We start from the raw sequence: 14,684 nt of genomic DNA, 5'->3' as shown, positions 1-14,684 counted from the left end.
GTAGGCATTTAATTTTTTTTTTCTTAAAGGCAAGCCTATTTCATGGAATAATGGAAAAGCTATTTTTGGCAAGAGACAGACTGAATAAATGAAGGAAAAGGTTAAAGTAAATAAATACAATGATAAAAATGTTAATTGTGAAAGAAAAGCACTGTGTTTTGAATAATTGGAAGGTTACAATAATTACATTTTTAAAAAAGACTGAGGTATACAATTCAACAATAAACTTAGTAGGTGACCTGTTATGGAATAACAGATAGATATAATATCTCCTCCATTTAACTTAATCCCCTTTGCTTCTTTCTTGTGCAGTCTAAGACATTCTTCATGTTTTGTTGTGTTCAAAACATAGCCCTCCAATAAATGCCCTTGGAAGATGTCAGCCCCTTTGGACTTCTTCCTTCTCTAACTTCCTTTGCTCTGTGATGCTTTATGACAAGCCCCTGTCAGTAGAACTCTTCTTTCTTGACTTTCCTATTTCTGCTTGTATGATAGGAAGATTTTGCTTCTCAAAAGTATTGAAAGGAAACCATCTGTCCTTCTCTACCCACCCTTCCAGTCCTACTGGCTGCTTCCCAAGAGAGAAGGAAGGACATGTCTGACTGGAGAGTCAGCTGGAGCCCAAGTTCCTTAGTCCAGGTTACCTGCAAAGCTAAGCAGTGGCCCCTAGCTGTCCTGTCTTAGCTGTCTCCAAGGAGAGGTTGTTCACTGGCCTGCATGGTCTGCTTGGCATTCCACCTGGTAAATACACCAGAGCCGCTTAGCTTATGTCTAGATGGGGAACCTAATTCGTGAGAAATGGAATAGGAAACCATCTGGTCTTGGGTTCAAGTGGCATTCTGCCGTCTGGTTTTACCCTTAGTGCAAGGGATATCTGGATCCCTTTCTGATTCCAGTGTATTTCTAAATTAGTTTAGAATTTCAAAAGGAGACAGATGAGATCCATTGGCTCCCTCATGCCCTACCCTCCATATTAATTACTCTTCTGTTTTCTAACTTTAACCCACAATTCAGTGTTCATCATATCTGTGTTTAATGGAATGGATGGATGGATGATGATACAGATTGATGGATTATTCAATAAATGCATAAGTTGATATTGTTTTGATCACTAATTGTATTATGTATTTTTGTCATATAACCAAATAGACGATAAATTCCTCATGGGCTGGAACTTATCTTTACCCTTGTTTTGTAAATCTGCCTCCAGGATCACATTTCTGTACAAAGTAGCCATCCACTGATACTTGTCAGTAATAATATTTTATAGAAATTTATAATTTTTAAAAAGGTCATACTCATATATCACCTCAGTACTCATCATGACCCTATGAGGAAGAGAAAATGATTATTATTCCTATTTTTCAATTAAGGAAAAATATCCAGAGAGGTAAAGGAACTTGCCCAAAGTTGCAAGCTAATTAGTTAGTAGGACAGCAGGACTGTACTCAGAATCCGCCTGGGCCTGTGTTTTCTCTATTCATCATTCCTCTTTATAGACAAAAATGATGATTGTTATACCCACCCCATTCTGTTTCATGTGATCAGTGCTGAATGTTACAAATTTAAAATTACACAGGTTTCTGAAGGAGGCAGTCCCAGTGATATGGTTTGGCTGTGTCCCCACCCAAAACTCATCTTGAATTGTAACTCCCACAATTCCCTCATGTCATGAGAGGAACTGGGTGGGAGGTGATTGAATTATGGGGGTGGGTCTTTCCTGCGCCGTTCTTATGATGGTGAATGAATTTTATGAGATCTGATTGTTTTAAAAATGGGAGTTTCCCTGCACAAGCTCTCTTTTTGCCTGCTGCCATCCATGTTAGATGTGACTTGCTCCTCCTTGTCTTCCACCATGATTGTGAGGCCTCCCCAGCCATGTGGAACTGTAAGTCCATTAAACCTCTTTCTTTTGTAAATTGCCCAGGCTTGGGTATGTCTTTATCAGCAGCATGAAAATGGACTAATACAATAAATTGGTACCAGAAGTGCAGTACTACTGAAAAGATACCCAAAAATGTGGAAGCAACTTTGGAACTGGTAACAGGCAGAGGCTGGAACAGTTTGGAGGGCTCAGAAGAAGACAGGAAAATGTGGGAAAGTTTGGAACTCCCTAGAGACTTGTTGAATGGCTTTGACCAAAATGCTGATAATAATATGGACAATGAAATCCAGGCTGAGGTGGTCTCAGATGGAGATGAGGAACTTGTTGGGAACTGGAGCAAATGTGACTTGTTATATTTTAGCAAAGAGACTGGTGTCATTTTGCCTCTGCCCTAGAGATTTGTGGAACTTTGAACTTGAGAGAGAGATGATTTAGGGTATCTGGCAGAAGAAATTTCTAAGCAGCAAAGCATTCAAGAGGTGACTTGGGTGCTGTTAAAGGCATTCAGTTTTATAAGGGGAGTATAAAAGTTTGGAAGATTTGCAGCCTTACAATGTAATAGAAAAGAAAATCCCATTTTCTGAGGAGAAATTCAAACCGGCTGTAGAAATTTGCATAAGTAACATGGAGCCGAATGTTTATCACCAAGACAATGGGGAAAATGTCTCCAGGGCATGTCAGAGGTCTTCAAAGCATCCCCTCCCATCACAGGCCTGAAGGCCTAGGAGGAAAAAAATGTTTTCTTAGGCCAGGCCTAGGGTCCCCATGCTGTGTGCAGTCTAGGGACTTGATGCCCTGTGTCCCAGCTACTCCAGCCATGACTAAAAGAAGCCAAGGTACAACTCGGGCCATGGCTTTAGAGGGTGCAAGCCCAAGTCCTGGCAGCTTCCACATGGTGTTGAGCCTGAGAGTACACAGAAGTCAAGAACTGAGGTTTGAGAACCTCTGCCTAGATGTATGGAAATGTCTGGATGCCCAGGCAGAAGTTTGCTGCAGGGGGAGGGCTCTCATGGAGAACCTCTGCTAGGGCAGTGCAGAAGGGAAATGTGCGGTTGGAGCTCCCACACTGAGTTCCTACTGGGGCACTGCCTAGTGGAGCTATAAGAAGAGGGCCACTGTCCTCCAGACCCCAGAATAGTAGATCCACTGACAGCTTGCACTGTGTACCTGGAAAAGCTGCAGACACTCAACACCAGCTCATGAAAGCAGCCAGGAGGGAGGCTGTACCCTGCAAAGCCACAGAGGCGAAGCTGCCCAAGACCATGGGAACCTAACTCTTGCATCAGCATGACCGGAATGCGAGACATGTTTACCCAATACCTATACCTCCATTGTATCTAGGAAGTAACTAACTTGCTTTTGATTTTACAGACTCATAGGCAGAAGGGACTTGCTTTGTCTCAGATGGGATGTTAGACTATGGACTTTTGAGTTGATGCTGAAATGAGTTAAAACTTTGGGGGAGTTGTTGGGAAGGCAATGATTGGTTTTGAAATGTGAGGACAGATTTGGGAGGGGCCAGGGGTGAAATGATATGGTTTGGCTGTGTTCCTACCCAAATCTCATCTTGAATTGTAACTCCCACAATTCCCAGGTTTCATGGGAGGAACCGGGTGGGAGGTGATTGAATTATGGGGGTGGGTCTTTCCTGCACTGTTCTCATGATAGTGAATGAGTTTCACAAGATCTGATGGTTTTATAAACGGGAGTTTCCCTGCACAAGCTCTCTTTTTGCCTGCTGCCATCCATGTAAGACGTGACTTGCTCCTCCTTGCCTTTTGCCATGATTGTGAGGTCTTCCCAGCCATGTAGAACTGTAAGTCCATTAAACCTCTTTTTTTTGTAAATTGCCCAGTCTTGGGTATGCCTTTATCAGCAGCGTGATAACAGATTAATACACCCAGGAAAGCAAGAGCAATGCAATTAAATATGAGGGCAGGGAACTGTAATGATAGCCAGCAGTTACTAGGTCTGTTTTAGACACTTATGTGGATTACCTCATTCAATTTACACAGCAAGCCTGGGAGGCAGACACTGCTATCGTGCCTGCCTTACAGATGAAGACATTGAGGCATGAGAGACTAATGGCCAAGTTCACCCAGTGAATGGTAGAGCAAGGGCTGGAATTAGGCAGCTTGTTACCAGACTTAGGAAAATACAATATAAAGGATTTGCAAGGATAGAAACTCTCCGGTTATATAATAAAGAGACAACAAATGGGAAGTGGTCCTGCAGCAAATGTGAGATAACAAGAGAAAAGAGAGGGCAAAAGAAGAAAAATAAGTGTAGCTAACCTGGATGTGTAAAAAAAGATGCAGACTCAGTCATTCCTAGCTAGGAAACTCACTCCTTGTTTAAGAAGGGATGCATTGGGCTGGGCGCGGTGGCTCACACCTGTAATCCCAGCACTTTGGGAGGCTGAGGTGGGCGGATCACGAGGTCAGGAGATCGAGACCATCCTGGCTAACACGGTGAAACCCCATCTCTACTAAAAATACAAAAAATTAGCCGGGCGAGGTGGCGGGCACCTGTAGTCCCAGCTACTCAAAAGGCTGAGGCAGGAGAATGGCGTGAACCCGGGAGGCGGAGCCTGCAGTGAGCCGAGATCGCGCCACTGCACTCCAACCTGGGCGACAGCGAGACTCCGTCTCAAAAAAAAAAAAAAAAAAAAAAAGAAGGGATGCATTGAGTATAATTAGACTTACTCTTACATAATATGCCTGATGTTTGTTCTTTATGTGTAAGATAGTGAATTATTTAAAAAATTAAAGTAGAATGTTATAAATATAGCACCCCAAGCTATTCAGAAAGCAAAGCACTTTCAATTTCATTTAATAAAAGTGGAGAGAGGGGAGTGTCTACCTTTTTATACAGTGTTTCAAGCTCTGCCTTAATGCTCTGCTCCTGTGTTAGTACTGGCGGCCTTGAAGGAAATGGCTTGATGGGGTTTGGCAGAGCTAGGATCCTGCCGTCATCTCCAAACCATCTTCTTTCCTGTAGATGAAGCAGAGGGAATGGCAACATTTTCTTCTAATCGAACAGAAAATGGTTCACAACACAAACAACATTTCTTGAAAATTCTGTGTCAACATATATATTTCATGTACTTCCTCCCCCAACAGAACTGTAAAAGTTCTGTTTCCATTAGAAATCAAGTCTTCACTAACACTTCTCACAATTGATTTAAAATATACACCCTGGCTTCCTAAAAAGTATTTTAAAGAGCTTAAATGAGTGCTTAAGAAAAATTTATCTTCTATTAATTAAACATTTAAGAAAAAAAAACACAGAATAAAAACTCAAAAGTGAAACTATTCTACCTATGGATAATTTAAAAATTCTGTCAAGTAGGAAAATGTTGCCAGGATCTGGTTTAGCAGGAAAAGCCCAGATCTAGCTAGCAAAGATGGGTTTTGAGCAGTTGAGAAGTTATGTTATTTGAGGATCAATAAATGTACTGAGAGAGAAAGTTAAAAAAAAAAAAATGAACCACTTTCTGTGGATAACCTCAAGAGGAAATGAGTACAGTGGATGCAATGACTGCCCTGTTAGGAAAATAAAAGCTATGTCTAGTGTGCCCAGGCTACACCTGAGAGCAGAGGGTGCACACTTACGGGGTCCTGCATCAGCAATCTGTTCTCCATGATGTTCTGATTGGTGCGTGCCACCTCTGGTCTTACCCCGGTGTAAAGGCCTTCATCTTCCAGGAACCTGGGCTGTACATTCTCAGGAAGCTTTTTATATGTAGGGACTAGATCGTTTATAAATAAATAAAATAAACATTAGGGCCAATCTAAATATCTCAAACTGCAGTTTGGTGAATTAATCACCAGAGATTTCATTTATGTTCTTAGAAAATGCAAATTTTCCAAATTAATTTTTAAAAGCAGAACCAAGGAAAAGATGAATGTGCTCACTTGTAGCAGTATGTTGTAGAATCAGGTATTTAAAGAAAACGCCTAAAAATTTAATATGTAACTCATCAGTGTGGCATACTGAGAAGAAGGTAGTATTCAAATCATAGGATGAGAGACAAGTTTTAGTTCTATTACTCTTCAGCTGGGTGAATTAGGGCCAGGCACTTCTTTGAACTCTCTCCTCCTGTACAAAAGAGATACTAATCTACTTAACTGGGCTTCTGGGAGAATTAAATGAGGTAAAGTATGAGGACGTGCTTTGTAAATGAACAAGTTTATTTGATTGAACGTGATCATTACCTCATTTATTCATTCACGGCTTTATTCATTCCTAGAACACATCTTTACTGAGAGCCTCCTTGTGCCAGGCACAGATGAGACTCTGGGAATCCAGGCCAGGCCCCTGCTGCCTTGGAGCTTGAATCATAGTGGGAGTGATAGGCAGCAACAGGAAGCAAAGGTCTCTACAAGATCACGCCATAGAGTAGTAAGAAAATACACAGGAGATGGTGACTTAGGGAAGGTTGGGGATAAACTTAAGAAGAAAGAAAGGCTGTTCTCATAAACTCTAAGCCCCTGTAATGGATCACTGATTTGATAAAGGGTTCCCACAGTACTCTGGTATATCTTCCATTAGTCTATCAATAAGTGTTTGTTGAATGGATATTTTTCCATGTTGTGTTTTTTTTGTTTGTTTGAAGATATTTCTTGATTGTTAGATTAGAAACTGGAATCAGTTCTGGAGATGAGGCATCCTTATACACTAGCCATATTTCATGACAAGGTAAGTGACGATGTCTAAGCTGAACAAGAAAATAAAAAGAGCAAGTACCTGTCTGCCTACTGGGTATGAAGAGCATTTCTCTTTCCATCTGCAGCCGATCATGGATGCTTTCATAATCTGCAGGTCTGACTGCTACAAAATCGTCAGCCACGTGATCTAAGCCCAATAGGAAGTCCTCGGCATCATCACCATTAAGCAGTTCTTCCTCATCCTGCATAATGTTAAAAAGTAACAAGAAAAAATCATGCTAAGATTCTTAGTTAGAAAAATAATTCACAATACCAAACTCATGAAACTTAACATTTCCTACAACTTTATCTTTTCCTTTTTTTAAAAAAGTGAAAGCATAGAACTATATAACCTTTCATATTTAACAAGTGGGTTTTTAAAAAAATTGTTTTGCAGTATTCTGCACACCTGGAAGATGTCAAAATCAGAGATGGCTGTTTCAGAAGAGAAGTGGTAAGCAAAACAATCAAAATCCCAACAAATCTGGCCTCCTATGAGACTGCTTGCTTCTTGCCATTTATGTAAAGAATTGGGCTCATAATTTATGTAGCAGTTTAACCTTCCACCTGGCACTAAACCAAGGGAAAAGGCACCAAGTGTATAGGTGCACAGTCCACACACCCTGTTCAGACTGCCTGGGTTTAAATCCCAGCTTCACCATATACTGCCTGAGGAACTTGAAACAGCTTATTTAACCTTCTGATCCTCAGTTTCCTCACTTATAAGATAGTTATAGTAATGGAGTTTACCTCTAAGCACTTTGTGGGGATAAAATTAAATGATACACTTAAAAATTCAAAGCAAAGAGGCTATAATCACAAATGTTAGCTGACATATATTGATTTTGTTTGGATATTTTCTAAACGTCTTCTCTTCCTTCCTCTTCTTTTTCTTTCTCCTTCTCCTTCTTTTAAAAATTTAAACCTGGTGTCCATTTATGAGCAACATCTTTTAAAATCCTGTGGAGACTTTCAGGTAGCTAAAGACAATGATGGCAGTCTAGCTACCTGCCTCTTAAGATTTCCTCCCCAAGTACACAAAAGAATAAGAAGGAAAAAGGGAATCTATGTAGAAACCATGCTTTTAACTTAACTTGAAGACAGAGAATGCCAAAACATCAAACAAGTGAAAAGAGAAAGATCACCAGATGGCAGTGTGTAATCTTCCTTCTCCTGCCCCACCTCTGCTTCGTGGTGAGCAAAATCACCCAGAGAAAAACTGCAGAGAAGACAGAAAAGGGGAGCTAGCGAAAGGGGCTACAGAGGATCTAAAACTTTGTTCAAAAAGGCTAAATGAACCTTGAAGACGAAAATACTTTAAAAGTGTCTGGGCAGAGCAGAGCATGGACTATAGGGAAGGGCTTCCAAATGTGTGTGATTTAAAAGAGCAGTTTTAGGAACAGAGCTTCTGGGGCAGTGAATAGGCAAAAGGAAGGGAGAAGTGGCCTTTGGAGGAAAGTGCCATAATTTCAGAAGATATTCGCAATTGGAGACTTCTATCTTCAACAGGTGAAGCCCAATTCTCCTCCATTTGAGAGTGCACTACGTCTCGTGACTTGCTTCTCCTGAGTAGAATATGGCAGAAGTGACAGTATGTGGCTCCTGAGACTAGGTCATAAAAGGAACTGTGGCTTCTTTTTTGGGTTCTCCCCTAGATCACTTGCTTTTGGGAAGTTAGCTGTCATGTCAGGAGGACACTCAAGCAATGTTGAATGGCCTGAATGCTGATTTGTAGAATGATTGTTATAGAATAAGCTAAAATATTCCCAAGCTTCTGTAGATCTAGGTAAAAAAAGTACATTTCCGGGAGGCATTTTTCAAGGGAGGAGATTGTAAGTGAAGCACAGAAGTATGCCAATTATGTGAATACTAGAATATCCTAGTGTGTTTTCCTTATTTTTAATGTGGTAAAATATATATAACATGAAGTCCACCATTTTAACCTTTTTTTTTTTTTTGAGACAGAGTCTTGCTTTGTCATCTAGGCTGGAGTGCAATAGCGCAATCTCGGCTCACTGCAACGTCTGCCTCTCGTGTTCAAGTAATACTCCTGCCTCAGCCTCCTGAGTAGCTGGATTACAGGTGCCTGCCACCACACCCAGCTAATTTTTGTAATTTTAGTAGAGACAGGGTTTCACCACGTTGGCCAAGCCTGGTCGTGAACTCCTGACCTTAGGTGATCCGCCCTCCTCGGCCTCCCAAAGCTGGGATTACAGGCCACCGCACCCGGCCCATTTTAACCATTTTTAGGTGAACAGTTCAGTGGCATTAAGTAAATTCATATTGTGATTCTACCCTTACCACCATCCATCCATCTTCCCAGACTGAAATTCTATACCCATTAAACATTCCCTCCTTCCTCTAACCTCTGACAACCACCATTCTACTTTCTGTCTCTATGATTTTGATGATACAATGTAGCTCATATAAGTGAAATCACACAATATTTATTCTTTTGTGACTGGCTTATTTTTCTTAGTGTAATGTCTTCAAGGTATATCTATGTTGTGGCATGTGTCAGAATTTCCATGCTTTCTGCGGTTGTATAATATTCCATTGTATATTTATGTTTATCCATTTATCTTCCGATGAACACTTGGGTTGCTTCTACCTTTTGGCTTTTGTGAATAATGCTGCTATGAACATCGGTGCACAAGTATATGTTCAAATTCTTGTCTTCAGTGTTTTTGGATATATACACAGAGTGGAATTGAATTGCTGGATCATATTGTAAATCTGTGGTTAACTTTTGAAGGACCACCATACTGTTTTTCACAGCAGCTGCACTGTTTTACATGGCTACAAGCAACGCACCAAAGTCCAATTTCTCCATATCCTCTATAACACTTATTTTTTGATAAGCGCCATTCTAATGGATGTGCAGGGGTATCTCATTGTGGGTTTGATTTGCATTTCCCTTATGATGATTGGTGTTAAGAATCTTTTTATGGGCTTATTGTCTATTTGTATGTCTTCTTTGAAGAAATGTCTATTCAATACCTTTGCCCATTTTTAAATGGCTTATTCTCCTTTTATCTCACACATACCACCCACAGTTGCAGAATTTGAGTTGTAGCCTGGGTGTGGTGTTTGGGCACAAAATGCTGCTTACTTTGTAAGGTTGTGGTAAGAGAGAGACCAAGATTTCATTTGCCTTGCAGAGGAACATATTTTGCACATGGAATAAATACTAATCATTACGTGGAGTCTAGCAAGAAAAACCCTCAAGCCACATTATTTAATTCTTTTTTCCACAAAAGAAAAATAAACAGGTTTAATCAAGGTTCTTCCTACCACATTGTAGGGTCTAACCCAGAGCTACAGGGAGCCATGTGAATTCAGTACTTGGGATTTCAACTCAGACGTGGAGTGTCATTCTCCTGGTGGTGGCAGGTTTCTCCTCAGCCACTTTCTTTCTTGCAGGGACATCAGCTTTTTCCTCCTAGCCCTCCACCCACACCTCATTACCATCCTGATATTAAATACCATTTCCTTTCCTCCTCCTTGTGCAGGTGGTTCTTCTTCTTCCCCTTCCTCCTCCTCTTGATTAGTTCCCGCTCTATGTCTTGCTTTTGGTTTTTCCTCTGATCCTTCTGGTTCGGGATCAAAGTTGAAAGTAAAGAAGTTATAGGCCTCTTCTGCAGAAGGGAAGCCAGGTGGAACCTAACGAAAAGCAAGGAGCAATCGCAATTTCCCATTTATAAGCTGTAATGCGCTCTGCACAATTAACTGACAGCTGGCTTAATGCTAATGAGATCAGGCATATTCCAGGCCTCCGAAGCATATTGTCTTAGTTAAAGGTGTGAGACTACTGGTAATAAACTTTAATATCTGCCACAGGCAGTTGGAGGCCTCCTTTAATAGTAACTCTAATTAGTGACTTTAAAAAACCCCAGCAATTATTTACATTCCAACAAGTAAATACATATTTATAGCAGTAAACACTTTAGATAAGATTATTAAAATGACAAACAGTGGATTTATTGTTTTATTGGCCAATGCTGAGATAGTTTTGTTGTATTATGAGAAATATAGAATTTTTAAACAAATGACCTTTTTTTGTTGTTTCTCTTTTGGAGTTAGTACTCTCCTTTTTTCCTATAATGAAAGCCGGGGCAACTTCAGAGCTGAACAAACTGTCTTATCACCAACATTTCCTGTCTTTCCATGCACTCCCTCATCCTCAAGTCAGGCAATATTCTGATCTCTCCAGTTAGTATGAAAGTTGGAATCACTTCTCATACTTTTTTCTTGCAAACTGCATGGCAACAGGAGTCAGGTTATATATGTAGTCATTTATTTATTTTTAATTAAGAGATGAGGTCTCACTCTGTCACCCAGGCTGGAATGCAGTGGCACAATCATGGCTCACTGCAGCTTCGACCTCATGGGCTCAAGTGATCCTCCCATCTCAGCCTCCCAGGTAGCTTGGACCACAGGTGTGTGCCACCATGTCTGGCTAATTTTTGTATTTTTTGTAGAGATGGGGTTTCGCCATGTTGTCCAGGCTGGTCTTGAACTCCTGTGCTCAATATATCTGCCTGTCTTGGCCTCCCAAAGCGCTGGGATTGCAGGCGTGAGCCACCACACCCGGCCTGTAGTCATGTGTCATTGGATATTTGTAAAAAACACAAACAAACAAATGATTTTAAAAAACAAGATTTCTCACCTGGGGTTTAGGCTTGATTTTTCGTGCAGAATCATGGAACTTGACTCTTGAGTAACTTTGGGAGTCAACTTCTTGTTGAGTCCTTTCTACCTCTTTCCCTGGCTATATGAGTGGAAAAAAATGATAGATAAACCATTTAACCCAAGAAACTTAGGCTGTTCTAAAATGAAGGTTAACCCCCCCATCCCAAAGGCTTATCTTCTGACTGCTGCTGCATCTTATCATTCCTAAGGCATGGAATGCTGGCAAATTTCAAATGCAGTCATGCGCTCCATAGCGACAGCCTGTAGAACTGCATGCATGACGGAGGTCTCATAGACTATAAATACGGTATTTTTACTGTACCCTTTTTATGTTTACATAAAAAAATACTTACCATTGTGTTACATTGCTATGGTATTTAGAAAAGTAACATGCTCTTCAGGTTTGCAGCCTTGGTGTGTAGTTGGCTATGCCATTTAGGTTTGTGTAGGTACCTTCACACAATGGGTTCACACAATGACGAAAATGCCTAAGAACACATTTCTCAGAACATATCCCCATCACTAAGTGATGCATGACTGTATATTTGAAGGTTGATGTTGATATTTTCTTACTCAACTCGTCTCTCTCAAGACTGAACAAATGTAAAATTGTATACTCAATAAGCTTTAAAATGAAAACTGTTGTCCAGATGCAGTGGCTCATGCTTGAACTCCCAGCACTTTGGGAGGCCGAGGTGGGCAGATCACCTGAGGTCAGGAGTTCAAGACCAGCCTGGCAAACATAGTGAAACCCCACCTTTACTAAAAATACAAAGTTTAGCCAGGCGTGGTGGCGGGCGCCTGTAATCCCAGCTACTGGGGAGGCTGAGGCAGGAAAATCCCTTGAACCTGGGAGGCAGAGGTTGCAGTGAGCTGAGATTGCAGCACTGCACTCCAGCCTGGGAGATAGAGCAAGACTCCATCTCAAAAAAAAAAAAAAGTGTTATCTCATCCTATAAATTAAGATTATCCACTTCACAGAGGATCATTTCCAAACAGTCTATAAAGAAAAACATTGATAATGTCTGATTGTAAGTAAGTCCAACACACATCCTCCAGGGTACATGGCCTGTCCTCACTGAACCTCTGGTCCTGCTATCCACCCTGGGAAGCTGAGCCCTCTGTCTCTACTTGCTCTATGTGATAGTTATCATATGGGTATTCCCTTTTGCCTCTGAAAGCTAATCTGCAAGGTGCTGTTTCCAACTTCTTACCCATCTCTCCTTCTAATCCACCCCTTTTAAAACCCAGATACTCCTCCTTTTTCATGAAGCACAATCTAAATGTCAAGCAATTTTGAGCAATTCTAAGCCATCCCAGTAGCACATATAGGTGTTCATGGCAAGAAGGAACATACTTATTCTACCTATGACAGAAACTTGATCATTATTATATGGACAGAGAATTATTTCACAGCATGGAATAACTGTCACCCAACAACAGTCATGTAGTGTGCCATCTTCACTGGGGACCTTCAATATATCCTTCCCAAGTCCTACCTGTTCCTCAAGACCACACAAAGCTACTTCCTTTCTCCATCCTAAAATGAACTCTCTTTTTGGAATCAAATTGTCTGATTCATATCAGGCACTGTCTTGTAGAGCTTGGCAGTTGAAACCATAGGCTCTAAAGTCTGACTGCCTGGCTTTGAATTTTAACTGTACCACTTACAACTTAGGCCACTTGAGTAGAGCATCAAATAAGGAAATGTACATAAAATATAACCAGTCAGGTGCATTAATGGTAGCCATTATTATCATATTACTAGCTTTTTCTTACATGTCTTTTTTTTGGTCTATAGTTTGTATTCATATGATACGACTAAACATTTTAGTTTAGCCCATGGGAAACCAGAGCCTGTGGCAAGGGTTTTTCTGTGCCTGTAGTTGACTCTGAGAAGTGACACCAAAGAACAGGAACTGGGGACTGGGAAGAATAAAGCAGGTGGAAAGTGAGTGCAGGAGAACTTGATTGACAAGGCTACCACTGTGGGCAAGAGAGTTTAACCCACAGGGATCCTCTGAGGAGTCACGTAGACTGCTTCTCAGAATTGTCCACCAGGGACACAGAAGAGGGGAATATTTGTCTAATGGCTTCTGTCCCCCAGGTGGTTGGAGGGGCTCAGAAACAGATGGCCCAAAATATGGTGCTTTGACATGCTGAACTGAAGAAGAAGCCTCAAGTTCTCTCTGACCTCCCCTACCCTGGATGCCAAATTCCCTATCTCTCCTAAAGCACAGGATGAGGTTGTTCTCTGAAGTTCCCTTAGCTGCCTGAGTCCAAACCTGCCAAAGAAGAAAACAGTGACCTTTGGTCCCTCTCCTGAGTGTTCATTAACTGTACCCATATCGCAGGAAGAAAGACTGAAGTCCATCAACACACTTGGACAGACTTTAGTCAAAAACCATTGTCTGCTCTGCGGGCCCAACAGACTTTGTCCGAGGCCACTGTTACGTTCTCCAAGCCCATTGAATTCCCCTAAAAATCATTTTCTACTTGCTAAAATCACCCACACTTCTCCATCTCTCTTTCCTCTAGGATGAAGGGTACGTAATTATCTTTACTCCTTGCACACTAATAAATGTGTATGCCTTTTCTCCTATTAATCTGCCTTTTGTCAGCTGATTTTCAGTGAACTTTCAGAGGGTGACAAGGAAGTGTCCCCTTGGCCTCTACATAGTTGGTGCTTCCAGTCTTGCATATGTGTCAGAATACATGAGTGGGCCTCCGCAAGCCTTCTGGAGAGGAAGGGATACCCTGGAATGAAACCTGGAGGTACAGCTAAAGTGAGGTGCTGTCAAATTTCACTTAGGTGCAGCTAGATGTCCAGTAATGGCCAGAATAAAAATGAGGGTGTCAGTTGGGTATAATCTATCATAATATCAAGCAACTGTATACAGTTTCCTTTTATGTTGAATTCTATACTTCTCCTTCATTTTCTCATTTTGTAGTGTTAAGGTTAAATAGTTATCTACCAACTCAATTGTACAGAAGTTGAAGCTGTGCTAATCAATACATTCCACAATGCAATGCTAAATGAAGTTATTATTTGTCTCAGTATTTTAAATGTTTTTGAGGATGAGGAAAGAAGCAGATGAGTATTACCCAGTGTAAGGATTTTTTTTTCTTTTTTTTTTTTTGAGATGGAGTCTCGTTCTGTCACCCAGACTGGAGTGCAGTGGCATGATCTCAGCTCACTACAACCTCTGCCTCCCGCGTTCACGAGATTCTCCTGCCTCAGCCTCCTGAGTAGCTGGGATTACAGGCACCCTCCACCAAACCCGGCTAATTTTTTTTTTTGTATTTTTAGTAGAGATGGGGTTTCACTATGTTGGCCAGACTGGTCTCGAACTCCTGACCTCGTGATCCGCCCGCCTCAGCCTCCCAAAGTGCTGGGA

General features: G+C 41.2%; 1 protein-coding gene and 1 long non-coding RNA gene across 6 annotated transcripts in view; one reads left to right on the top strand and one right to left on the bottom strand.

Annotated features, from left to right (window-relative positions):
* Positions 1 to 14,684, bottom strand: part of CC2D2A (coiled-coil and C2 domain containing 2A) — a 131,693-nt gene that overhangs the window by 80,054 nt on the left and 36,955 nt on the right. For all 5 annotated transcript variants that reach the window (NM_001080522.2, XM_047416010.1, XM_011513872.4 and 2 more), the window contains 5 exons: positions 11,264 to 11,365; positions 10,081 to 10,257; positions 6,635 to 6,797; positions 5,500 to 5,636; positions 4,748 to 4,879 (listed from right to left, as the gene is read on the bottom strand). In NM_001080522.2, the coding sequence (NP_001073991.2) occupies positions 4,748 to 4,879; positions 5,500 to 5,636; positions 6,635 to 6,797; positions 10,081 to 10,257; positions 11,264 to 11,365 (711 nt within the window). The remainder of the gene's footprint in view (positions 1 to 4,747; positions 4,880 to 5,499; positions 5,637 to 6,634; positions 6,798 to 10,080; positions 10,258 to 11,263; positions 11,366 to 14,684) is intronic.
* LOC124900672 (uncharacterized) lies at positions 6,797 to 13,892 on the top strand. The gene is made up of 2 exons (XR_007058062.1): positions 6,797 to 7,048; positions 13,394 to 13,892. It is a non-coding gene; the product is annotated as an uncharacterized LOC124900672 (long non-coding RNA).

Source organism: Homo sapiens, chromosome 4 (genome assembly GCF_000001405.40).
Source record: "Homo sapiens chromosome 4, GRCh38.p14 Primary Assembly".
Lineage (NCBI taxonomy): Eukaryota > Metazoa > Chordata > Mammalia > Primates > Hominidae > Homo > Homo sapiens.
The sequence above is the reverse complement of the archived record's forward strand: the minus strand, read 5'-3'. Positions and strand labels throughout refer to the sequence as shown.